This window comes from Homo sapiens, chromosome 19 (assembly GCF_000001405.40).
Source record: "Homo sapiens chromosome 19, GRCh38.p14 Primary Assembly".
Lineage (NCBI taxonomy): Eukaryota > Metazoa > Chordata > Mammalia > Primates > Hominidae > Homo > Homo sapiens.
Genome location: NC_000019.10, coordinates 28,003,883 through 28,031,786, shown reverse-complemented (window position 1 = coordinate 28,031,786; position 27,904 = coordinate 28,003,883). Strand labels below are relative to the sequence as shown.

General features: G+C 43.5%; 1 long non-coding RNA gene across 1 annotated transcript in view; it reads right to left on the bottom strand.

Annotated features, from left to right (window-relative positions):
- Positions 1-6,817: 6,817 nt before the first annotated feature.
- Positions 6,818-27,904, bottom strand: part of LINC02987 (long intergenic non-protein coding RNA 2987) — a 231,539-nt gene continuing 210,452 nt past the window's right edge. The window contains exons 4-7 of the long non-coding RNA NR_146733.1: positions 26,728-26,779; positions 24,151-24,285; positions 12,728-12,880; positions 6,818-8,728 (exon numbers count right to left, since the gene is read on the bottom strand). This is a non-coding gene — a long non-coding RNA (long intergenic non-protein coding RNA 2987). The remainder of the gene's footprint in view (positions 8,729-12,727; positions 12,881-24,150; positions 24,286-26,727; positions 26,780-27,904) is intronic.

The following is a 27,904-nucleotide window of genomic DNA, read 5'->3' as shown; positions in this document are numbered from 1 at the left end:
ACTTGGTGCCCTGCATCCCAGCTGCTCCAGCCATGACTAAAAGAGGCCAAGGTACAGCTCAGACTGTTGCTTCAGAGAGTAGAAGCCCCCAGCCTTGGCAGCATCCATGTGGTGTTGAGCCTGTGGGTGCACAGAAGTCAAGAATTGAGGTTTGGGAAACTCCACCTAGATTTCAGAGATTGTATGGAAATGCCTGGATGTCCAGCCAGAACTTTGCTGCAGGGGAAAGGCCCTCATGGAGAACCTCTGATAGGGAAGTGCAGAAGGGAAATGTGGGGTCAGAGCCCCCACAAAGAGTTCCTACTTGGGAACCACCTAGTAGAGCTGTGAGAAGAGGGCCACCAGAGCCCATAATGGTAGATCCACTGACAGCCTGCATTGTGCACCTGGAAAAACCACAGACACTCAACTCCAGCACATGAAAGCAGCCAGGAGAGGAACTATGCCCTGCAAAGCCACAGGGGCAGAGCTGCCCAAGACCATGGAAGCCCACCTCTTGCATCAGTGTGACCTGGACATGAGACATGGAGCCAAAGGAGATAATTTTGGAGCTTTAAGATTTGACTGCCCTGCTGGATTTCTGACTTGCATGGGGCCTGTAGCTCCTTTGTTTCACCCAATTTCTCCCAATTAGAATGGCTGTATTTACATAATGCCTGTACCCCTATCGTATCTTGGAAGTAATTAACTTGTGTTTGATTTTAAAGGCTCATAGTTGGAAGGGACTTGCCTTGTCTTGCATGACACTTTGGACTGTAGACTTTTAAGTTAATGTTGACATGAGTTAAAACTTTTGGGGACTATTGGGAAGGCATGTTGGGTTTTGAAATGTGAGGACATGCGATTTGGGAGGGGCCAGGGGTGAAATGATATGGTTTGGCTGTGTCACCACCCAAATCTCATTTTGAATTCCCATGTGTTGTGGGAGGGACCCAATGGGAGGTCATTGAATCATGGGGGCAAGTTTTTCTTGTGCTGTTCTCATGATAGTGAATAAGTCTCATGAGTTCTGATGGTTTTATAAGGAGGAGTGTCCCTGCACAAGCTCTCTCTTTGTCTGCTGACAGCTATGTAAGATGTGACTTGCTTCTCCTTGCCTTCCACCATGAACGTGAGGCCTCCCCAGCCATGTGGAACTGTAAGTCCATTAAGCCCTTTTTCCTACATAAATTGCCCAGTCTTGGGTATGTCTTTATCAGCAGCATGAAAAGAGACTAATAAAGTCACATGCCATTATTGCAGTTACAGTTGGCAGATACAGTAACCATTTTTATCTTTCCTTTTTTTAATATAAGGAAATCGTACATACATTATATACATGTGTGTATATATATACACACACCTTCATATGTATCTGTGTGTATGTGTGTTTGTGTGTGTGTGTGTGTGTGTATATATATATATATATATATATATATATATATATTCTTCACCCCTTTTGAATTTTTGTAATTTTATGTTTTAGTAAATGATAGTGTACTAGCACATTATTTTCCTTTTGAAGAATCTTTTTACTATAGCCTGGAGGTTACTCCATATAGTGTATGAAGATATCTCTTATTTTTTTTTCTTCACAGCTGCATGGTACTCAGTTGTGTTGTGCACTCTACTCTATTTAACCAACTTTCTACTGGTAGGCATTTGAGATTTTGCTATTTCTAATAGTGCTGCAGTGAATAGCCTCTTTTCATGTTTTTTTTTTTCTTTTCTTTTCTTTTCTTTCTCGGTTCATCCTTGGGCTAGATCTTTAGAAGTGGGATGGCTGGCTGAAAGGATAAATGCATACATGGTTTTGATGGATATTTCTGAATTTTCCTTCACTGTATCATGTTGCACTTAACACTGCCAATTTATCAGAGGGCCTATTTCTCATAGAATCACCAACCAAATATGTCATCAAGCTTTTAGATTTTTTGTGTCTGGTTACACACAACTCAGTACACCTTTAATCTGCATTTTAAGTTATAAGTTAGGTTTAACCTTTCAAAATATTTTAAGAGATATTTGTGCTTATGTTTCTGTGAAATGTGTGTTCATAATCTTAGCCTATTATAAAGTAATTGGTTCCCTGCACCAACATTTAAAAAAGTTCTTTGTGTATTAGGTGTATTAACCCTTGCCTTAAATATACTTTGCAAATAATTTATTCTGTTTTGCCATTTAACCATTTACTTAGATTATTTTTTCTATTGTTCCCAGAAAGGGGTCCCAATCCAGACCCCAAGAAAGGGTTCTTGGATCTCAGCAGGAAAGAATTTGAGGGGAGTCCACAGAGTAAAGTGAAAGCAAGTTTATTAAGGAAGTAAAGGAATAAAGAATGGCTACTCCATAGGCAGAGCAGCAGCTTGGGCTGCTGGACTAAGGATACTTATAGTTATTTCTAGATTATATGCTAAACAAGGGGAGAGTTATGCACGAGTTTTTCAGGAAAAGGGTGGGCAATTCCTGGAACTGAGGGTTCCTCCCCTTTTTAGACCATCTAGGGTAATTTCCTAACGTTGCCATGGCATCTGTAAACTGTCATGGTGTTGGTGGGAGTGTCCTTTAGCATGCTAATGCATTATGGTTAGTGTATAACAAACAGTGAGGACGACCAGGGCTCACTTTCATTGCCATCTTGGTTTTGGTAGAATTTGGCTGGCTTCTTTACTACAGCCTATTTTATCAGCAAGGTCTTTATGACCTGTATCTTGTGCCAATCTCCTAGCTCATCCTGTGACTAAGAATGGGAATTCAGCCCAGTAGGTCTCAGCCTTATTTTATCCAGAGCTTACTCAAGATGGAGTCACTCTGGTTCAAATGCCTCTGACATTATTATACTAAGATTTTAAACATTTTATGTAAATTTATTAAACATTTTCTTATGTTTCAAAATTTTATGTTAGGAAAACATTTCTTCACTCCCAGATGATAGAAAAATTTATCAAGTTTAAAAAAATTGTTTTGTTGCATTTTTTTACAGTTAAATATCTGATATATTTAGAACTTTTTGGTATAGGGTGTAATGAATGGATTCAATTTTACCTTGTTCTATATGGTTATATGGTTTTTCCAACACTACTTTTTAATAATTCTATTTTTTCTCCACTAATTTGAGATGTTGCTTTTATTGTATACTAAATTTTCACTAATATTTGGGTACAGTTCTGGAATTTTGATTCTGTGATTGAATTCTTTTTGAATTTCCATAAAGATAAGACATATTGCAATAAATATGAATCTTTATCCCAATAAAGTTGATTATTGCAGGGGTTGAAAAAGTAATTTTTTGTTTATTCTTCTAAGGTCTTAGCTAGGATCCCTTGTTAAAAAAAAAGACACATTACTAGAACAAAACAAACCAGAAGTTTATCAACATGTATTCCTTTTGTATACATAGGAGATACTCAGGAAAAGCGGGAAAATCTGAAAAAAAAAAAAAAAAAAAAATAGAAAAAAAAAAGGCTTAGAATTCAGGCTTTACTACCATCTTCATCTGAAATAAAGAAAGGAGGCTGTGGGGGAGGCCAGTTCTGGAAAGGTGACCAGGAAAAGCATGGCAGACAAAGGGTGAAGTTTGTTATGCAGATTTAAGTCAGAGCTTTCTCTATGGATGAGAGTCTCTTGTGATTAAGCCATCCTTCTCATCCTAGTGCTGAAAGGAAGGCACCCTTATGAAAGAAAATTTTCATCATAGAAGTAAGTCTTCCTTGCAAAAGAGTAACTTCTACTCTGTTTCTCTGGTGTCTGCTGTTTCTCAAAAATAATTGGCTCAAAATAATGCTTATGCCAAAGGGGTATATTTTGAGATGGCATATTCTGGTCTCTTAAGTTATCCAAAAGTGGAAAAACACATTAGACATGCTTAACACATTAGAGAGGCTTAAAGATGTCATTCAGAGTGTGGAGCTAATAACACTGCTGTGGTTGTTTAATTACCAAATAATTGCTCCACAGTTAACATTGCTGGTACAAAGAGAGTCTAGATATTGGAGGAAGAGCCCTTTGAATGGTGTCTGTTGCTCATGGAACAGGAGGATGCTAGGCCATTGTGGTGTACCAACCTTAAACAACGAGATTCAGAAATTATGATTAAGTATAGAGTTTATTTGAGCTTGAAGATGGCCACCTGGGAGCATAGATTCAAGTTGCCCTGAATACACACTCTCATTAGTAGCAGTTACAAGTGAGTTTTTTTTTTTTTTTTTTTAAAGACACACAGCTCAGTCTGTTATGAGCTGCTTTCCTTCTCCAGGTGGCTGTTATCTTTTGGGATCCTCTATACAATAGTCAACAGGGGTGCCTTGGAATGCACTGAAGTGTGAGATCCTTCTGGATTTTAGTTCCTGATCGTGAAACCAAAACATTATCTCCCCACAGCATCCTCTGAATACCTCTCACAGCCATGCTCAGGCAAGAGACTCGAATGCTACCATTTCCCAAGTGTGTGGTAATGACAGCTAACATATTCTATATTCTGGAGAAATGGCCCAACCATTTTAGAATAATTAATCATGGGACAAAGGAAGCTTGTGGGAGAAAAGGACTAGCCAAATATTTAAAAAACAGAGGGTAGTTTTACACATCTTGTCATTTCCAGCATTTAGGAATTCATTACCCACTCAACCACAGCTTTGCAGAAAGGAACTTTTTAGTATTACTGTATAATTGTTTAAGCATTGACACTGCTGCTTACTGAATAAATGTAAATTCTAGGAATTCTTCTATTTTTTTCTCTTTTGTCCACTTAAAAAGAAGAGAATGAAACACAAAGTGAGATTTAAACAGTTTACTTGAGACTGAGAAATAAAAATAAAATCCTAAGTCCCCCAGTGGACTAAACAGCCAGGAGGATCCCAGATAAACCTTAAAAACTGAGTTTTCCTGGCTGTGATGGGATGGGAGGTCAGACACGCCTCAGTAAGTCCCTTTCTCATTAACCTTTAACCAGAATTCTTTCCTAAGGAGTAGGCAGAAACCAGCTCTAGAAAGCAAGAAACGGACAACTCATTTTTCTATCACCTTTAGCCAGTCATCTGAGGCCACAACTGGACTCTCCTTTCCTCTCTGCACGTTTGGCACAGCAGCTCAGCAGTTTCACAATGCTTTCCTTCCTAAAAACTGACCACCAACTCTGGACTAGTTTTGGCCAACTTGTGGAGGATGCTCAGTGAGAGTTTTTGTGTTCCCCTCTTTGTCACTTTTTGACATCAGAGGGCCAAAGACTCCTTAGATCATGCCAAGATCACCATTTTTTGAATATGTGACCCACGAAGAGGCATGAAGCTCAATTGCACATGTGCCTGTTTCTCCTTTCACAGATATTCATGACATCTTCTATAGCTTATTAAATATGTATATTTAGCCAACCTGTTCAGCATAAATTCCTGTTCCCTTCACACCTCCCTCAAGCTTTGGGCTTCTGCTGGAGGCTATGCTTCTCAGCCTGTGGAATGGCCAGCCTGCAGGGTGCAGCCCTTTATGAGAAATAAAGGTGTCCTTTCCAAAGTTGTGAGCCTTGTGAGTCTTCAGCTCGCATGCTAAAATAAGGACAAGCTGCCCAGGAGGCTCAGACCCAAGTAACCTTGGATATGAGCTTTGTTCGGCCTTTGTTACAGGCATGTTTTTAAAGGAAAAGAAAAGAAAGGGGGAAAGGGAGTGTGCAAAATCCTGTCAGGAATTCTCATTGGTTTACAGAAACAAAACTGATCACTGATCAGCTATACATTGTTGTACTGTGGGGTGTGGAATATAGTGTCTGGTGAGGCATTATTAGGTTAATTCATAGCTGCATGTGACAATAGCAAGCCATTTCAATAGGTAAATACATAGCTCAAAAGCAGGAGTAGGATATGATTGCTGTCTCATTTTTATGTCTCTCCAGGCCTGATAATTTGAAAGGGCTCACATTTCTCAGATAAAAGTTTTTTTTTCCCCTAACTTTAATGTGGAAGACAAATAGCTTAGCTCTTTGCACTTCTCTAGACCCTCTCATCTCTTCCTCACACATTCTCTTAACAGTATAACTTTATTTTTAGTTATGCTTTCAGTTACTTTTATAACCATAGATAATATACATGCATCTTATTTCTTATTCTCTTAGTAGTTTAGAAGAGTACGAATTTCTAGATTTGAAATTCTGCACTCTCTGTCAGAGTTTATCTGTCTCAGATGGTTCCCTTAACTATGTAATTGGGCAAATTTGGATAAGGAGACAGATATTAAAAGATGTGGGCAATATTTAGGAAAATCAAAGGGAGAATGGAATATCCACCTCAAGCCTTCATGAGCTCATTAAATTCCAAAGGCCCCATCTTCTAATGCCATCATATTGGGGTTTAGAATTTAAACATATGAATTTTGGAATGGCACAAACATTCAATCCACTACAGGAAATAAATACATGCTCACTCTGTCAGCTGAACCAGACCCAAAAGTCAACTTAAAATTTTTACTCCTTAGATAGTTGATATTCTATGCCGAAGGGATGCTTTGAGTTTTGCTATTGAAGAGCCCTTCGCTAGTTGCTGGTTTACACATCCTTCTCCCAGGTCTTCAGTCACCTTGTGCACACCTATGCTATAGATGTGGTCTCACTGTACACTAATGTCTGCTTGTCCACTTCTGCCATTATGGAAGAATAGGCAGAAGGGTCCTCCCAGCATTCACGGTCACTTGCCCAGCACCTGTTGCATGCTCAGCATTTTACTCAACCCCTATGCCTTCACCTGTTCCCCACCTCACTACACAACACGAGGATTTGACACAGATCACAAATTCATACTGAACAAAGACAATTGAGTTTTAAAACATTGGAGCCAAAGAAAATGTTTAATAGTGTTCCATAGAGTTGGGGTATAACACCAGTAAAAGGAGTGAACAGTGGGGAAGAGATGACATTCAGGCCTTCAGGGCCTCTACGGTCATGAAAACTGTGCTACAAATGTGGCTTTTAGCCTCTGGGAGGCCACAGGAAAAGTGAAGCACATTAGAAACACCTATTTTGTATATAATGTGTTCTTGAAAGCATGTATAAAAGACATCATAAAACAAATAGTATTATAGTTTTAGCTGTGGTGGTAGCTGGGTGGATGTGCTCTGTTGCCAGAAGCCGAAAACTAGTATAAAATATCTGAATACATTGTGCCTTTTATGCATAATATTGAACACATTTCATTGAATCTAGTTTTTTTTCCTTTATAATGCAACCATTTGAAAGTCTATTTGAGATGGAGACTTACGCATGCAGCTCATTGATCCATTCCATCTCGGTCTTAATTATATTACAGTGATGGGACAAACATCTTTGTTACTAGTATCATTTTTCTGTTCTGTTCTAATTTATTTTTTGAAGCGTAAAATAACAAACACATAAATAGTGGCACAAACACTGGCTTACCGAGTTGGACCTTTTGGAGATTGGCATTGCTGCACCTGAGAAAGCTTCCAACACTTGTGGACTCATGTGCAAAAGTCCAAATTCTGATCATGAAACATTTAATTCTACCAATATATAATTAAGGCAAGTCAAACACATGAAAGTTAAAGAAGACTAAAATAACAAAATTTATGTTTTTCCAAAAGAAGTAACTCAGTTTATGGCAATGAACTATTCAGGCCTCAGAGTCCTGTACATCAGAAAGTAGGAACCCCTCAAAAACACACACACACACACACACACATGCACACACACACAGGTGTAGTTTAGAAGACAGATATAGACATAAATGTTTTTACTAAAGTTTTCATTTGCCTGGGTAAGTTAACATACAGAAGGACATGTTTCGTGACAGGTAATATATATTCTCACCACAATAAATTACTTTTATTTAAATTCATATTTTTTTCAAAAATGTAGCACTTACCCATGGATGAAAGAAAGTTAAAGTTGAGATTTGTTCTTCAAATGACATTTATTCTGTTTGAGTTTTGGTGAGAACCTCACCAATATAGATGCCATCTATTTCCATAATCCATTGCAAGTTGCAAGACCACCTGTTTTAGTTCAGGTAGTACTTGCTGCTCTAAAAAGGAAATCCCACATCTAAGGACTTAAAATAAAACTTTATGGACTGGCATGGTGGCTCAGGCCTGCAATCCCAGCACTTAGGGCGGCCGAGGAGGAAGAATTGCTTGAGGTCAGGTGTTCAAGATCAGCCTGGTCAACATAGCAAGACCCTGTCTCTACGAATAATAATAATAATAATAATAATGATAATAATAATAATAATAATAATAACAAAATAGCCAGGTGTGTTGGTGCATGCCTGTAGCCTTAGCTACTCAGGAGGCTGAGGAGGAAGGTTTGCCTGAGTTCAGGAGTTCCAGGTTGCAGTGAGCTGTGATTGTGCCACTACACTCCAGCCTGGGCAACAGAGCAAGACTCTGTCTATAAAGAATAAAATAAAATAAAATAAACTGAACTTAAAACATCTTAATGTTATCCTTGGACATATACCATCTCCTAATCCCTCTGGCCTCAGCTTTGGCACCTGCACAATGAGAATGGTTTTACTCACCACACAGAAATGTAGTCAGCGTAAAAGAACGTAACAAATACCAGGGAGGCTCAAACCTTCTTACAACTGGAGTGGAATGTGCTTTCTATGTGGAGTGCTGCGTGTCTCTGAAGTTCCCCACAAGCTGTTGGCCCTCACGGACTTTGTTCTTTACTGTCATTTCCAAGTCTGTCCTGGTTACTGTTGTGTGTGGTGTAGATGAAGCACGTCTCATTTTCTTAGTATCTCGACTACAGGGGAAAATTATAGTCATTAATGCACACTATTAAATTATGTCAAACACTAGACTCAAAATTTCTGCTGAATACCAAATAGATTTTAGTTAAAAGGAAAATCTGATGTAGATTTAGGGCTCTTTTTGGGATTGTCCCTCTAGCCTCCCCTCCGCTCTGCCCCATCTTCTTCAAGGTGGTGTAATGAGTTGCTGAATTTGGAAGGAGATAGGAATAAGTAGCCTGTGGGAGATCTGGGCCAGGGGTAAAGTCCAACCTTGAACCTGGCAGTGTCAGACTGTGGACCTGAGTCAGGGGCTGCCATGCACCAGCACAGCCATGAGAAGAAGCGAGTGCTCTGTTCCCATGCAGCCTGGCTGTGGCAGGTCTCCCACGGGCAACCCCGGATCTAACCTTGCGCCAACCTTGCAGCCCCCAAATGCAAGCCCCTTTTACAAAAGTGGCAGTCGTGTGATTACTAAAGTTTTCACTGGGAGATCAAGAAAAAGGTCTCTATCACTCACCACCTGTCAGACAACTTCAGAACCTACCCTGTAACATCGCAGCCCCCGTCGTTCCCCTTTCCTGCTACCCGCCTGCCAGCTACTCAATTTTCCTTGGCCCCACCCAAACCCCATGTTAGCCACTGCCTTACTTTTCATTTATTTCTCTGTTGTATGTTGGACAATTCAGCTCTGTACCAACTCCTCTTCTCCTGCATCTCCATACCCATCACCCCCTCAGCAGAGGCCCTGATGAGGGATTCCCCTCCCCCACATCTCCATACCCATCACCCCCTCAGCAGAGGCCCTGATGAGGGATTCCCCTCCCTCCCATCTCCATACCCATCATCCACTCAGCAGAGGCCCCTGATGAGGGATTCACCTCCCTGGGAGGTAGCGGGGGCAGTAACATACACATTTACAAGTGCTTTCCTTTCTCTCTATGGTACCATGGATGGCACAGTGTGAAGCTCTGTGAATCCAACAATGATTAAGAAGCAGGTCTTGGCCAGGCATGGCGGTCACACTTGTAATCCCAACACTTTGGGAGGCCATGGTGGGATAATCACTTGAGGCCAGGAGATCAAGACCAGCCTGGACAGCACAGCAACACCCTCTACCAAAAATCAAAAAAATAAACTGGGTGTGGTGTTGTGCACCTGTAGTCCCAGCTACTCAGAAGGCTGAGATAGGAGAACTGCTTGAACCTAGGAGGTCGAGGTTACAGTGAGTTGTGATCCCATCACTGCACTCTGGCCTGAGTAACAGAGTGAAATTTTGTCAAAAAAAGAAAGGAAGAAAGGAAGGAAGGAAGGGAGGAAGGGAGGGAAGGGAGGGAAGGAAGGAAGGAAGAAAGAAAGAGAAAGAAAGAAAAAAAGAAAAGAAAGAAAAGGAAAGAAAGAAAAGAAAAGAAAGAAAAGAAAGAAAAAAATCAGGTATCATCCACAAAGTGCTCTCCCTCTGTGGGGTGAGCAGCCAGCTTTCTGTGCCTCTGTGGGGTGAGCAGCCAGCTTTCTGTGCCTCTATGGGGTGAGCAGCTGGCTTTCTGTGGTGGCTTAGTTTTTCATCATGCATTTAACGTCGTTCGTCACTGTTTGTGCTCATAAGAACCCCCTCCAGGAAGACAGACTTCCTCATCTGCACACAGCAGCAGGTGATGCAGGGCCTGCGAGTTGTGGCTTCTCTGGCATCACATGGGGGTCTCAGGCAGAACAGACCACAGTCTGTCATCTTTTAAGAAAATGTGGTTTTTGATTCTATAACAGAAAACTCACAGGCCATCCAAGAGAATTCCAAATGACGAAATGAACAGAGCAGGTTTCATCACCACACGGAGCCTCCCTCTCTGTGGAGGCATTTGGAATTTGGTGAGGACTCCCCGTGTCCCTGCCCTATGATGAGAACTAGGGCAGTGTCTGGAACCTGCACACCAAGGCCTCCCAGAGAGGAAAACAACAGGGGATTCCCAGGGAATCTAGCCTTCCCTGTGCTCTCACCTCCAACCAGCCCCATCTCCTGGAAAAATACAGAATAAACTTTCTGCTTTGAGTCTGAAATTTGGAGCCAGCTCTGGTGGAGGGAAGAGGGTACCAGCCCTCCAGATACCCAGCTGCCAGCCCTGGGCCCCTTCATAACTTCTGTGGCGCCTCTTCTTTCTGGCAGAGTTGCTGATGGGAGCTAAGCACGGCCATCCATGCCAGCAGTTGCACAGGTTTAATCAAGGGTCTGGTCTGTCTGACAGTGCTGGGGCTCAGCAAAGCAGCTCCCCTGCTGTGAAAAAGTGCTGATCGATGCTCCATTGTTCTTTCATTTATGGGTGGCTCTCCTCCTCCTCTCCCCTCCTCCTCCCGCTCCTGCTTCTGTCCACCTGTCACAGTGTCAGAGGCTTGGGAGAGCAAGACTGCTCCTGCAGACACCCTTTTGCACATCTAGACAACCAGGGGACAGTTTCCACGTGGACTTGGAGGGGCCGGGGACGCAGCTGCACCAGGCTGCCCGGCAAATAGAGGGAGGAGGTCCCATGGAACGGCTTCACCATAGTCTTCCTGACTGTCAACAACTCTGCCCTCTTCCTTTAAGGTGCAGATTCCTGTATGGTTTAAAGCAGCAGCTGAAAGGGGTTTGTTAAGTAGTCAACAAGGCTCCTGGAAGCTTCAATCTCTCACTTCCAGTGTTCAGGTTTTCTGTCCTCCTAGACCAGGGTTTTTTAACCTGGGCCCCACAGACATTTTGGCTGGACCATTCTTTCTTGTGGGGGCTTTCCTATGCATTATAGGGTGCTTAAGAAGGTCCCTGGCCCCCACGACTGGATTCCAATAGCACCTCCCCCAACAGTGTGAACAACTAAAAGTGTTTCCAGGCATTGCCAAACATCCCCTGTGGGTGAAATCACTCCTGGTTCGGAACCACTGACCTAAATGGTCCTGACATGGCAGAGCCGTGTTCTTTCTTGTGTCCTCACTGTTATCCCATCATCACAGCAGCAGCGTAACCACAACTTTATCATCACCATCACCACCGTCATCATCCCGTAGGCAGCATCTGTGTCAGTCATGATTACTAACATCTGTTCATGATGATCGAGGACCTCCTGAAGGAGCTGTACTGCTCCCCAGGTGCCTGGAATGTTCCTGGAAATGTGTGCAGACTAATCCAAGATCCCTGGGAACCCTAAAAGGTGAATGTTATTATGCCGGTTTTAGAGATGAGAAAACCGATGATCATGGAGCTTAGGTCCTAACTTTTCTTGAGATGAGGCAGAACACAACCGTGCCCCTGTTTGACCTAAGCGGGAGATTTTGTTCACTATACTCGGCTACCGTGTACTTCTCTTTGTCCCTTCATTTGTGCTCTCCAGCTCCTGATAAGGGTTAGGCACAGGCCTGGCATCCTCATCAATGTAAGGAACAGGAATCAAGTCACTCAGCTTAGCTGAAGTAATTCAAATTGATGTGCACCTTGTCCGTTGAGGCAATAAAGAATTGTTGCAACACAGGACTAATCCCAGAATTCTGGTTCCAGCTTTGACTTGCTCTGTGAGCTTAGACAAGCCACTTGACCTTTCTAAGCCTCCCACACTTTATTTGTAAATGGACTAATACTTGTAAGAAGATAAGAACGACACCTGCATACAGTTAACCCTCAGTGAAGGCCGCATGTTACTATTAGTGACAGATGCTCTCCGGGTAAATCGACATCTTTCTTTTTGTTCTCTCCACAAAAGTGGTTGGGGAGGTGCTGTGTGAGCTTAAGGGAGATTAGAACCCTGGTGTTGGGGTCAGACAGGAAAATGCCTGGCTGCTTCTCTCAATTGCTCCCCTGAGAAATGGCAGCATGTCTTAGAGCCCAGCCTGGGTGTCAGAGGTCCTGAATTTCAGTTTGGGGAATGGACCATACACAGCAAGACTGAGAAAGTCATGTACCTACCAGGGCCCCGATTTCCTTATCTGCACATTAGGCTAGATAATTGCAAAGCTCCTATATCCGCATGTGTACAATAGACAGTTTTACTCACCTGCTATTGTAACGCGCACACTGGGGCCGTCTATTTCAGTGTTGGATGAGTCTTTCTCTGGTGCTGCCTGGGCTGGCTAAGGTCCGGCTCCCTCCCTGGAACAGCTCTCCAATGGCTGGCACCCATCCTTGCCCATCTCTGACAGCACACACCCTGCCCAGGATTGAGGACCGGAAATATATATATAATAGATAGCTAGATAGATAGATCAATAGATGCTTTTTAAAATACACATTTTATCTTTGTCTTCCCTTTAATCCTTCTACAGCAACAGATTCTTCAAACAAGCTGCACTCTCACGTGTACTCAGTGGGGTATGCTTTTCTTAGGCAGTAAGCAGGATATGCAATCGGGTTCATACACAGCTGTTGAGACTTCCTGAACACATCTGAAAAATCGATTGGCTGGGCACTTTTTTAAAGATGTCTCCTCTTGACCCGTAATCTGAAGATTAATTCTGCAGACAGAAAGGGCTGACTTGCAGGTCAATACCTCCTTTTAAGAACCTCCTCACTTTAATTAATTGTCCCTACAAAGTCCTAGATTACAGCTGAGGGATAGGTGATAAAAAAATTAATGAAAGCGCAGAGCATAGGGAGGAGGTAAGCCCTGACAAGATTATGGGGTGCGGGGAAAGGAGGATTTGGGAAATAGACTGAGAGGAAGCAACATCCTGAGTGGTAGCAAAGGGGAGATTACCTGTCTGTCTGTCTACCTGTCTGTCTCTCCATTTGACATTACTGTCTCTAGGGCATTTTGTTTTTCAGTGGTGCTGGGCACAGCTCACACCATCACTGTTATTTATAAGACACATGGTTATTGGAAGGAGCTCAGGGTTTGCAATCACATGATCATGCTGGCAGCTCCAGGTCTGTCCATTGCTCACCTTGGCTTGCTTCTCTGATAAATGGGGATAAGAGTTCCTACTGCATAAGGAAGCTACTTGGCTCTATGGCAAGCAGGGGCTGTGGATGGGCCAGGAACAAGGTTGGGTGACATCCCAGGGTCACACCAAAGCCATGCTCAGCACCCTGTCTCCTCCCTGAGGTCCCTGAGGCACAGTGAACTTCTCCTGCCAGGTAGGGAGAGGCCCACAGGAGCTTCAGACATCATTACAGTGGCCCTCTTCCACATAGGCTTGATGTATACTTTCTGCTTCTTTGTTTCTTTCAGATTCATTTCTTCAGGAGCATTGTGTAGTGACAAGGGTGGAGATCTTTGAAACCAGAGAGCCACCGTCAAGTTCTGCCCGGCTTCGCGAGCTTATGGAAGGCAGGCATTTAACAGAAGGGACACGCGCTGAAGCATGCTAAGAGTTTCATGAACTGCCATGCAGGAAAACTAGAGGGGAAGTCACTAGCAACCAGGAGCTAGACTGGAAGATCAGCAAAGCTCTCTCTGAGGAAGTGACATTAAAAGGCTGAAACAGGAATCAAAGAGGACAAATACAGACAGGGGAAGCAGGTGGAAGAGTTCCAAGGGAGGGAAGAGACTGCACAAGGCCCCATGCAGGGCAGAGGCTTGTGTGTGAGGAGCTGAAGGCCTTGCCAAGCAGGGCTGGCAGGAGGGAAAGTGCAGGAGATGAGGTTGGAAACTGAGGAGAGGGGATGTGGGGATTTATAGATGCAGTAGAAGTTAGTGTCTCATCTAAAGGGCAAGGAGAAACTCTTAAAGGATAACGATTTCCTTTTTTTTTTTTTTTTTTTTTTTTTTTTAAGAAACAAAGTTCTGTTGCCCAGGCTGGAGTGCAATTGTATAATCAGGGCTCACTGCAGCCTTGAACTCCTGGGTTCAAGCAATCATCCCGCATCAGCTTCTTGAGTAGCTGGGACTACAGGCATATGCTACCATACCTGGCTAATTTTTTTAAGAAAATGTAGAGATGGAGTCTCACTAGGTTGGCCAGGCTGGTCTCCAATCCCTGGCCTCAAGTCATCCTCCCACCTTGGCCTCCCAAAGTGCTGGAATAACAATCGTGAGCCACCATGCCAGGCCTCTTGAGACTTTAGTGCATCAAAAAATTGTCTCTACAAATCAAGACTCTTTATATCCAAAGACTATTTTGAAGCTATAAATCCCACACTGCCTTTCTTTGCTCTGGTATCTAGGAACCCTTTTCCTGGGGTGTGGGGTTGGAAAGCCCTGGCTGCCTGCACTGGCAGGTGTGGAGGACTCAAGGGTCCCATAGAAACCTGTGCATAGGGCGTGGGGAGTGCAGTGGTTGAGTTTTCAGAACACAGTCCTCATCGGCTACCAAAGCATTTTTCCTGAGGTGGACTCTTAGTATCATTTAGCCCCGAAGCCTCCCTCCCAGCAGATCTTTAAAATGTTACACTAAACATCAGCCTGAGTGCAAGCAACCATACAGGCATGCCCTTGACAATGCTTACACCAATGATGGCTTCAGCCATCTTTCCAACCACTCACTAAGTTCTTCATTTAGGGAGGCACAAATTGTCTACTGGTTTTAACCAGGACATGGAAAGTCCAAAGCTGATGGTGTCTTCTCATGCTTGCACAGATGAGATTTGGGCATCAACCCTTTGATTGGTCTCAGCTTGCTAAGAAAGATGCTTTTGGAATGCACCAGCCACTCCAAATAACCTAAATCAGGACTCTTGATCCAGTTCAATGCAGGCAGGTATATACACTTCAAAGGCAGCGACCAGGTCTGTCTTCCTCCTCATGTAATCCCCCAGTGCTGAGTATGGGGCCTGGGGTAGACAGAGTACTCAGGTCCATCTGTGGAAGGTGCCAGCCATAACTTCCTGATGTAGATGGAGACTGTGGTGGTGTGGGGAGTCAAAATGGCAGAAAGAAAAGACTTTGGTCTTTCAATCAAGAGGCCTGATTTAAGTCTTTAACTTAGAAGGTGGTCTTTGGGAAATAATTTTTTTCTCCTTGGGTCTTCATTTTCTTATCTGAATTAACTCATCTCTCAGCCCTAAATGATCTTCCGTTTCTTGCATTTTATTATTCCCTTACAGACTTAGCTGTAATCCCTTGTAACTCTGATGAAATGCAGTAGAAGTGAGATATTTTTTGGTAAGAAGATGGTATCAGTTCCTTAGATGCTTGCAGGAAAAAATTCAGGTACAAACTTAATGGATTCATTTTTTATTATCAACCAGCTTCAGTGGACTGGAAACTAGGATTCCAAGGTGTGGGCCTATGGCCAGGGGCCAGCAGAACAATGAGAGAGATTTTTCCCGGTGACACAGGCCAGAGGGTAAAATGGTTTCAAAGGCATGTTGTGTATTATGAGTCTCTCTACCATCTAAGTGATGAAGTTCCAAGGTCATGTGGGGCTTTTAATCTTTTTACTTACCCTATATTCCAAACAAAAGCTAAATGACAGAGGAAAGGATGGGGAGGCCAGGCAAGTGTCCCCTCTCTTGTGATACCTGTCCTTTCTATACTTTTACAAGTGAGTTCTGAAGCCTTGCTGGGCCACACAAAGGCTCACCTGATCCAATCGAGGAGACGTCTATTGAACAGGGCCACAACTCAGGTGTGCATGAAAGAAACACAGCTTGATGTTTCTATAGCTGAACTTAGTTTCTCTCTCAACCTCCCTTCCCTACCAGAGCTGAAACTTCATGTTAGTAAATGAGTAAATTCAGTCTTTGCATGAGTTTTCCCCTCTCCTCCTCAGGGAAGTTGCAGAAGAACTTCAAGAAGCTCATGTGTGCGGTCTGGCTTTTAAGCATCATTGTCTGTGAATGTTGACATCTGCTGAGTGACCTCCATGGTCCCCCTGACCTCTGGTCTCAGCAACCTCTATACCTTCTTGGGGTGTACACAGGTGAAACACATGGAACTTAAAGGGATCTCTCCTGCCCTGCATGGGCCTGCAGGAAACATGGGCTGGGGGGCTCTGGTGCCTTGATTAGACTCCACCACAGCTCCGATGCTGACACACCCTGCTGGTGCTGGAGGCCCTCAGGAGACTTGTTGGTTCCCTAGGCTCCACTGGAAGTATGGTTCAGGCTCCCCAGGCACTCAGCTTCTGGCGTTAATCTAGGGCTTCAGTTCTTTATTGTTAAGGAACTCAGCCCAGGGGATATTGATGCAGGGCAGGTGAGCCCTTAAGTGGGGCTCAGCCTTTGAGGGTTCTTGGCTGCGCCCAGCAGAAAATGGCTTTACTGAAGCAGCAATGTGGCAGCTCCACGACTGCTCTTGCAGAGCAGGGCTACCCCATGAGCAGTGCACTGAGAGTAGCAGCACCTCTAAGCAGTTCTGCATGCATGTTTACACCCACTTTTAATCACATGTAGATTAAGGGGTAGTTTATGCAGGAACTTTTAGAAAAAGTGTGGTAACTTTGAGGTTATTGGGTCATTGCCATAGAAAGGGGCGGTAACTGCCAGGTGTTGCCACGGTAATGGTAAGCTGATGTGGCACACTGGTGGGTATGTCTTATGGAAAGCTGCTTCCGCCCAGGCCCTATTTTAGCCAGTCCTTAATTTGGTCCAGTGTCTGAGCCTCACCTCTAGAGTGGAGTCTCACTTTTACTTCAGTATGACAGAGCCCTCAGTGGGCTTCTTCAACCCTGCCACCCACTACCTTCCACCCCGAATGCCTGTCCTTTGCCCCAGTTTCAAGGGTCTTTATCTGTTTTGAGGGATGAAGATGGGAGAGGGAGGGAAAACTGGCTCTGAGAACTTCTTATTATGTTTTTCCCACATTTATTGCTGTGGCATAAATGCATTGCTGAGGTCCTTCTAAGCTTCCTTCTCTGAAGCCAGTGTTGGTCCATTCTGGAGGCCTTCGCTTTGCCCCTCACTCTGCTCTGGGTGGCTCCGCTGCAAGGGCTTTATCCATGGCTCCCTTGCCTCCTGGTTCCTGGATGAGTTTAGGCAAGGGTGGCCCTAGCAGAGTCTAAAGGAAGACAAGCACAAAGAGGGGCATGTCTTCCTCCAGCTCCATCCCTGCTGGGTCCCCGGCTGAATGTCACAGCTCCTGCCAAGCAGTCCTTTCTGCTAGGCTTTCTGGTATGGTTTGGAACTGTGTCTCCATCTGAACCCCATGTTGAAATGTGATTCCCAATGTCACAGGGGGGCCTGCTGGGAGGTGATTAGATCATGGGGGTGATTTTTTTTTTTTTTATAAATGGCTTAGTGCCATCCCCTTGGAACTGTCCTGGTGATAGTGAGTGACTTCTCAGAAGATCTGGCTGTTTAAAAGTATGTGGCACCTGCTCCCTCTCTCTCTTGCTCCTGCTTCACCTTCCACCATGAGTAAAAGCTCCCTGGGGCCTCCCCAGAAGTAGATACCACTCTACTTCTTGTACAGCCTGCAGAACCATGAGCCCATGAAACCTCTTTTCTTACAAATTACCCATCCTCAGGTATTTCTTTATAGCAATGCAAGGACAACCTAACACACTTTCTCTTCCCTTTCACTCCTCTAGCTTAAGGTGATAAAGGCGTCCCGATGCCAGTGGCTATGTGTTACCCTGAACGTGGCCCAAATCTCTGTAAATAGCTCCTTAACTCATTAAACTCTCAATTTCAGCTCTGTGTGTCTGCTTCCAGAAGGGCCCCTGGTGACACCAAGCCATTGGTTTCAATAGTCTGGTTTGAAGTTGAGAGGTGAGAACTGACTTTTTTTTCTCTTTGCCTTTCTGCAGCAACAATTTTTTCTTTAAGGTGATGGAAAACTCTGGTCTAGTTTGAATCTGACAATTAATAGAGAGAATGGAAGAAAAAAAAGAAGGCAAAAAGAACAAGAGGGTTGCCAGCCAAAAAAAAGCATGAGTGAATATTTTAAATTATTATATTTCTATCCAATTCTTTGTTGTTATTTGGCTTGTTACTTTTTTACTGGTAAGTGGGACAAGTTAGCTTAGAAAAAAAGGGGACCTTTGCCCCATCGAAGAAGCTATGACCATTTTAAAAAAGAGTGTAAGGAATACTGAACTTGTCTACCTCCCAAGTTTTCTAGTTGAGAAAACTAAACTCTAGAAAAGGAGAATTTTGTTCACCTAGCCAATGAATGCTAACCAAAATAGTACCTGAGCTTAGGCTCTGTAGTAAATGCTAGAGATATAAAATTAAGAAGACCCTACCCTTGAGGAGCTCATAAAGTCATGGAGGATCATCTACATAGATTTAACATATAGTCACCAAGTCTTTGTTTGTTAGATCTGCTACATGCTGGGGCTCTATACTAGGAGAAAATCCATCATAATCTATGCCCCCATGGAGCTTGCTGCCCAGTGAAGACACAGACATTGAACAATTAATCCCAACAAAGATGTGGAACATTTTAACTATAATCCAAGGCCATTGTAAAGAGGAGTAGAGGACTTTAGGGAAAGCACAGCATCTGCAAAGGCCCCATGGCAGGAGGGGTCCTGGTGCATCTGAGGGGCTGCAGTTGAAGTGATGAGAGGTCACTCTAGGAGGAAGGTTGGGGACAGACCCTGCAGGTCTGCTGGGCCTTGTGAGTAGCCCTAGAGTGTGGTAGAATCCACACACTGCATACAATGCACAGAGGGAGCGGGGGAAGAGCGACCCCACCTGGAGGATCAGGGAAAGGCCTGTGGACAGGGATCTGGGTTTAAAGGATGCTTTGTCCCTCTCTCAGCCTGGTGTGGAGAAAAGCATATGAACAGCAGGATCAGAACATGTTCAGAAAAGTTCCTGTGGCTGGAGATCCGGGAGGTGGGGGTGGAAGGTGAGGTTACAGAGGGACACAACTAGAACCAGATCCTGGGAGCTTTCTAGACCAAGCTAGCACAACCTGGAAAAAAACATCTACCACCTTCTTGCAAAAGCACTTAGCCCATGAGTGAAAGGACAGGTCTAGAATTCAGATCCAAGGGAGTATCTTGCCCAACATCTTCTCTTTAAGAGGAGACTGAGACCCCTTCCAGCTCTGACATCCTCTGACTCTCAAACGTGATTTGCAGACTCAACCATCCCAGCCTTGGAGACTGTTGTTGGATAATGAGGAAGTGTAAGATGTGGTGTTTACACTGTGGTGCACTAAAGCCCAGGAGAATGAAGAAGAGAAGCTTACCCCACGCCTAAAGATGAGAACATGCGATAGTGTCCTGAGGCTGCAGTAACAGATTCTTACACACTTGGTGGCTTCAATAACAGAAATGCATTCTGTCACAGCTCTGGACACCAGAAGCTGAAATTAAGATGTTGGCAGGGCCATGCTCCCTCCCAAGGCTCTGGAAAATAACTCTTCCTTCTTCTTTCAGATTCTGGTGGCTCCAGGTGCTCCTTGGCTTGGGGCAGCCTCTTTCTAGTCTCTGCCTCCACCTTCAATGGCCCTCACCTCTTCTCTCTGTGTCTCTTCTCTGTGAGTCTCTTATCACTGGATTTAGGGCCCATAAATTAATCCAAGATTATCTGCTTCTCCTGAGACCCTTAACTCAGTTACATCTGCAAAGACTTTTTTTTCCAAATAAGATCACACCCACAGACTAGGACGTGGACATGTCGTTTCAGGGACCACCATTAACACACTACAGACAAGCATCAGAATTTACTGCTAAGTTGTTTTTCTGCAAAGGTGCTCACAGTAGTCTCATAGAACTTTCTACTGATATAAACTGTTTTAAAGATCTTTGTTTATGCAAGAGCAAAATGAGAAAAGGAGAATTCTCCACACTGGTAAAAGCTTTTACAAAACCCTTCATTCCTCTCTACACACAAGTCCTGGGCCCACGTAGGTGAGCTGTGAAGGTCTGACCAGAGGTGATTTTCAACCAGGCTCAGTAATAAAGCATGTGCCACCTCTGTAACCAAATGCAAGGATATAAGAGGCAGGAAGTATGAATTCACTGGGATCCCGAGGCATCTTGGTGCCCACTCCCGAATGACAGTCTCAACGATTGCTTGTTGGCTGCGGGGCTTGAACGCGTGAACCCTGCTTAGTGAGGCTTCCCTCCCTTAACCAGCACTCCGTGGTTATCTGATGCCTTTCTCCACAATACCCTGGTTCTGAGAAATCAAATTAAATATAAATTCTTTCTGCCACTAAGCAGCTCCTTGGAATTCCCCTAATAAAAATTCTCTTGAATATGCCACTCGGTGGAATTCTGTGTAATTCTAGACAAGAATAATCATTTCAGAAATAGGTTCCTGTATTCAACTGTGTAATGAACACAATTATTCTTATTACCCAGCACCGAGATTGCGGGTGTGACTGCATGTTAAAGACTGTTTGTAAAAGGGGCGCCTTATCTATCCTGGCAGCACACCCAGCCACCGGTCCACGTGGGACTTGCCTTATCTCCTTTCTACTGCTATGATTGTGGGAGAGGAAGATAATGAGGTTTTTTTCTTGTTGTTTTTTGAAAAAAATATGTTACAAAGGTAAGTAGAAACTTAAGCCCCAAAAGAAATTTCTCCATTAACATAACTTATGAAAATATTTTGTTCAGAGAAGTGCATCATGCTACCTCTCCAAAACGCTTGCAGAAAAGAAAAGTGGAAATCCATCTAAAAGCAGAGTTGCAGTGTTCCTCATGGCCCATTCAAGACATCGTTGTTCTCACAAACTCTTCAAACTTCTCACCCAGGCTGCTGGGCATTGCAGAGTCTGGTCTGGATCACTGAGGCTCACATTAGACACTATTTGAAAAGGAGTGCTGTTTCATTCTACAGACCTTACACTACACAGGACAATTAAATGTGGTGCCAGAGAAGAGTGGGAGAAACAGAGCCTGCTGAGCCAACTTCAATGAACTGATAAAAATGACTATAATTAGTGGCACCAATTTCCATATTCCATGTTAAAAACCATGGATTTGGTTACAAAGATTAAACATATTCCTTACAATGTTATTTTCCCCTTCTACGGAGAGCACACTTAATGGCTAATCAAGGCTGAGTTCTTAGTGCCTGGATTTTTCATGTGCATAGATTTGTATGTTTCACAGGTTCCTAAATGTTACAAGTCAGAGGCCAGAGCAATGTGAACTGAGCTCACAGAATTACCACTGCCAGTCGAGACATTCCAACATGTTTTTCTGACATATCTGTGTCAGTTGTCATCTCTACAATTAAAACTTAAACTAAGTTTAAAACTTGGACTCTTTCCATCCCTGCCAATCTCAAAAGAGTCACTTGAAGCATGATTCACATTTTAAAACATGTTAGGCTCAGGGTAGTGCCTCAAAGTTGGTGTGACCTGCTCAGGCGTGGGAGCTGGGGGCAGAGCGTGTGTGAGCCCTGCCTGTGAACAGTGTACCCTCATGAGCTCTGTGGTTCCAGCCGTTCCTGCAGAGCTGAGTCAGACAGACAGTGCTGCACAGGAACTCCTTCTCACACTAGAACTCTGCCAAAAGATACTCATGGGCTGGAACTGCCAGAGTCACTTTTTGGCTTAGAATATCACACAATGTCCATATGATCATTTGCACAATGGAATCTATGTTGTGGAACAGCCAAGATAAAAGAGGCAGATTCAGCAAGAGGGACTCTCACCCTGATTTATAAACACTTGACATTTAATACAGAACCTCTCTTGGTCCAAGCCCTGCTCCCCTTTGACTCCCTGATCAAGTGACAGGCAATGCATCCTCCTGTCTGTCCCATCAAACCACAAAGAACCTGTTCATCCCCAAATTTCTTCACATTCCTCAAATCTGCCCAAAGCCTTTGGGTCAGAACTTTCTCCTACTATACCTGCTTTCTAGCTCCCCGGCTTCCCATTCCTTCCCTTGGTGCTATTATCTTAGTTAGATGCCAGCATGGGCTTCATTTTGATTAAAACCAAAGGCCACCCTCACACCTCAGTGTCCTTCATCATCTCCCCACTCCCTGCCAGAGCAAGTCCAGCCTCCTGAGATTTATCCATGTCTTTGCAGCATCTGGCCTCAGCCTCCTCTCCCAGCCTCCCTCTTTGCTCCCCTCTACTAACATGCTGTGCCCTTTCTCATGTGAGCACGGCAGTCTCTGAGCTCTGAGGAATGCAAGACCTATGGACATGTGAGCACAACCTCAATTTCCAGCTACCAATAATCAAGCAGGTACATCGTTAACCCTGACAACAGCTTTGAACAACGGCCCAGTACACAGAAGTTACAATTTCCTGTCTGTGACAGACATGAGCTGGTGTTAAAGTATGTGCTAATTATTGAAATGTGCCCTCTCTGTTCTGAGCAGCATTTTCATGCAGATTTATAGGGCCCTGCTGGCTGCCCAAGCACAACCTGCTTCTTTTCTCATCTAAACTCAATCTCTTCCCTGCTGGCTCTTTGCATACTGGAGGTGAGAGGTAAAGCCAGCTGATCTTCTGGGTGGGTGGGGACTTGAAGAACTTTGGTGTCTAGCTAAAGGATTGTAAATGCACCAATCAGTGCTGTGTCTAGCTAAAGGATTATAAACACACCAATCAGCAATCTGTAAAAACACACCAATCAGCACTCTGTAAAACGGACCAATCAGCACTCTGTAAAATGGACCAATCAGCAGGAGGTGGGTGGGGCCAAGTAAGGGAATAAACACTGGGCACCCAAGCCAGCAGAGGCAACGCACTGGGGTCCCCTTCCACGCTGTGGAAGCTTTGTTCTTTTGGTCTTCACAATAAATCTTGCTGCTGCTCACTCTTTGGGTTCGCACTAGCTTTATGAGCTATAACACTCACCGCGAGGGTATGCAGCTTCATTCCTGAAGTCAGTGAGACCACAAACCCACCGGGAGGAACAAACAACTCCAGACTGCCATGTTTAAGAGCTGTAACACTCACTGCGAACGTCTGCAGCTTCACTCCTGAAGTCAGCGAGACCACAGACCCACCAGATGGAAGAAACTCCAGATACATCTGAACATCTGAAGGAATGAACTCCGGACACACCATCTTTAAGAACTGTAACACTCACTGCAAGGGTCCGCAGCTTCATTCTTGAAGTCAGCAAGACCAATAACCCACTGGGAGGAACCAATGTCAGACACAGAGGGACTGCCAAGTAAAGATGTCAGAACGTGGGCTTCATTGAACCCCAGTTCAGCTGCAGGCTAAAGACTGTGGAGGCTAAAGACTGCTCATCTCCCTTTGTAATAACAGAATGCTGGCTTTTCTCTGGGACTTCTCAAATCTCTAAATAAGCATTACAGTTTTTAAAAGGTGGGTAGGAGGGCATTAGAGTATATAAATTTTCCCAAACTCGGTGTTCTTGAAAATTTATTATTTCTATTTTTTCAGAGCCTTTCATACTGGTTTTCTGCAGAGCTCATTTTGAAATACACCGTCTTACAGTTTTCTGTTGTCATTCCTGTAGGCAACTGCAGAATAAAACCCCGCCATCAAACATCATTCCCACAACATTTATTTTTCTATTTCTTGGATGAGGTTTTCAAGCGGGACATCTGGTTGTTTGCTGCTTGTATTAATTTGCTAGGGCTGCTGTAACAAAGTCTCACATTCTGGATGCTTAAACAACAAATTAATTTTCTCACAGTTTTGGAGGCTGCAAGTCGCAGATAAAGATGTTGGCAGGTTGGTTTCTTCTGAGGCTGCTCTTCTGAATTGCAGACAGCCATCTTCTCCCTGTGGGCTTCCCCCTGTATGTGTCATGTCCAAATCTTCTCTTCCTGTAAAGACAGCAGTCATAATGGATTAGGGTCCATCCTAGTAACCTCATTTCAGTTTACCTCTTTAAAGACCCTGTCTCCCAATACAGTCACATTCTGAGGTCCTGAGGGCTAGGATTTCAACGTATGAATTTTGGGGGGATATCCCATAACACTGCCAGAGCTTGAAAGCTGGATTTGCAGGATAATTGTAAGTGATGGCAATGTCAGACAGACCCAAGATGTATAGAACATCTGGGCTAGTCCCTAAAGAGAGGGGGAACATTCCCTGTGATGATACAGGATGGATCCACTCTTTGTAGTAACAGGTGAAGGGAAGTGAAGGGAAAATGTGGGAAAAAAGTCCTTGACTAGGAGCTGGCCCCATCTTGGTGTGCTTGGTATCTGGGCAGAGGGCATGCCATGTACTGCACATGGACACTCTTGTTTAATTGTCCAGCACCTCTAAGAGGTAAGTACTGTTATAACCATCACTTTGCCAGCAAGGTTGTTGAGGCTAAGGGGAGTCTGAGAATTTGCTGCAGGCCGGAAGTGATTAAGTGGTACACTTGGCATTTGAACCCAGGCAAGTTTACGCCAAAGCCCACATTGTGTGCATTTCTCAGCTTGCCTAGAATCTTACCAGCTACGTGCCTTTGTAAAAGTAGTATTTCTAGGCCTTGATTCTCATCTTCAAAATGATACTAATGAAACATGTGTCCCCTATGTCTCTTTGCAACCTCAGTGAGAAAAGCCAGAGCAACTAAGGAGAAATGAGAGAGGCTATGGTGATCTACCTAAAACACTCCTAGACTTTAGGTTACCCCCAGGACCATGGTCAGTTCATTCATTCATTCAGTCATTTGCTTATTCAATGATTCAATGTATACAAAACATCTACTCTGTATAATGATAATGCCAGTAATAGTAGCTAACATTTGCCAGACATAATATGGGTCAGGACATTTCCCTGATGCTTTCTCATTTGTTATACATTAAATTTTTGCAAATTCATGCTAAGAATAATGGTGAAAATGAAATAATTTATTCCAAGAGTTGATAAAGCTGATATACAATGCCCCTTGGGGAGAGAATTCTAGAGAACCCTTTTTGATTTAGAAGCACCACCTGAGAAGCATATGAAGGATGAAGGCAAAGCACTTTGAGCACAGAATGTGATTAGCGAGGCTACTATGTGAACAAAATTTTAAAAATAAAAGAAGGTGGATTTGGGGGGAGGGAGAGAGAAGAGATGGCCGGGAAAACTTTAAGGGCAGAAATGCCAAACGTCACACTTGGATTATTCTGAACTTCCAGGGAAGTCTACCATGCACAGCTGTGAGGCAGTCATGTTCTGGGCAGCTACCACTACCCAAAAGAATCAGGCTGATGTTAAGCAAGGCAATTTGGTGTGGAAAAATGAAACTACTAACAAAAGCATGATGCAAAAGAAAATGATATAGGCCAAAAGAGCCAGCAGTAACTATGAGAACTGAAATTCCTCCTGGAGTCCTTGGAGATACTGGAATTTCCATGCACCTGGGAAGGGGTATACCATCTTCTATTTGGATGACAGAAGAAGGGATTGACTTTAATAGATATGTGGATTGTCTTCTTGGAAGATCTTTCAAGATCTTTCAAAGGATCCGTATCTCAAAAATAAGATTCAAGTGAAAACCAGAAAAAAAATCACCATGGTTGTTGGCTTCCTGAGTGATTAGATGTCCTTTTGTATTTGGAACCTGTAGACTTGATCTTTGAGTCTCAAACCAGAAAAGACCTTGAGTGTTGGGACAGAAACAGAGGATGCTCCTCCCTGCCCATGGGACACAATCTCGGTTGTGTGAGTGGCTTTGAAGGATTCCTGAACCATGGAAGACAAACACCTCACAGGAGCTGAATGCTGGACCACAGCAGGGATGGTGAGAAAAACCTGGCATTTGTAACCCTGAAGAGTGCAGACAAAGACTTCCAGCACTGCTGTTCCAGCAGCTCTCTTAGAATATTCTGGAGTCACAGAAAGCTACCTAGGTCCTCGATAAGAGACTCAAAATCAATGGGAAGGCCAGGTCCACAGAGAATCATCTCAAAGTGCTACATAGGGGGGCATTGCAGGCAACATGAATAAATTACTAAGTGCAGATAAAGTTTCAGGATGCTGTAAGAAAATAGGTAATCAAAAATACATATATAATCAAAGTGTTCAATCATATAGGAAACCTCATTTGAAAAGCAGATTCTACAAAGGAAAGAATTTGCTGGTTTTGGTGGATGTGGCAGGAATAACATAGAGAATAGCATGTTTTTATGGATCAGTGTTTCCAGAATCAAAAACAGAATGTAGTGGATTATCTACCTCATTATCTGAAATACACATCACCTTGTCCTCTTCATTATAATACACACAAACCATACACACACACACACATCCCCCTAGAATTTAATTTTTGAAATTTCACATACATTTTTCCAAGAACTCCGGCATCTTTTGTCTCGGCTGGTTTCTACTGCAATCCTATTAAACAAATACAGATAAGTTTATTATTTTCCACTGACAGGTAAGACCACTCAAAGCCAAAAGAAATTAAGTGATCTTGGCTCTTTTAATAAATCTATTAGGGTGCTTTGGGTAGCAAATAACATAAACCCAGTTCATATTGGCATAAGTAAACAGGGAAAAATGGGCTCATGTAACCAAAGCTATAGGGTAGCTTTCCTTGCCTAAAAGAATAGCTTGGTCTTCATTTTCAGATAGCTTCTCTTCTCTTGGTGCAAGACGGCTACCACCAGCTTCAGATTTCTCTCTCTTTTCATCTGATCAACCCCAGTAGAAATTACGTACCGCTCTTCAACATAAAACATATTTTGTTACAGAGAAAAAATGTGTAAATGAAGACTGTTTTTCTTTTTTCATAGGCTTTCCTGATGGATTAAGACTCTGCTGCTCAGTGAGGTATTTGAATTTTTGTCTTCATTTGTCTATTCCACACCCATGGCAGACATCATTAGTCAATCATGGCATATTTGCTGCTTTCAATCAGTAAGATCCAGTGTGTGAGTTGAAACCTTAGACCTCCTGCAAGCAAGGATGCAAAACCTGGTGTCATTGTCTTCATCTTATTCTTCTTTTACTTTTTGAAATTTCATCAATCACCTGAATGTTTTTTTTCCCAGAAGCCTCAATGATAAGCATTTCCCCAGTAAAACCTTAATGAATCAAATAACAGTGAAGTGAATCACTGAAGCATAGCTGTACTCTTCTTTAGCTTCTCCTTGGCCCTATTCTCTCCCCAACAGACCAGGAGCTTAACTCTAAAATCCAGGAAGCTTTCTGCAGAGCCATTCAGCCCAGCCCATACTGATTAAGAACAAGCACTCATTAATATTTCCCATAATGATGCCTTTTCAAATTAGAGCCTGAGTATTTGCTGCTACCGTATATCCAGCATAATCTCATTTGAAAGACTGCATCAACAGACCCTAATTTGGGCATTTTAAAGTAAACACAAAGTAGCAATGTCACATCAACTAATAACTCTGCAGAAATTACAGAGATACTAGCATTGCAGTGGGAAAGAAGAGCCATACACACTCTTTACCCTCCCTCTCCACTCTCCCTATCCCACACAGTGACCAACAG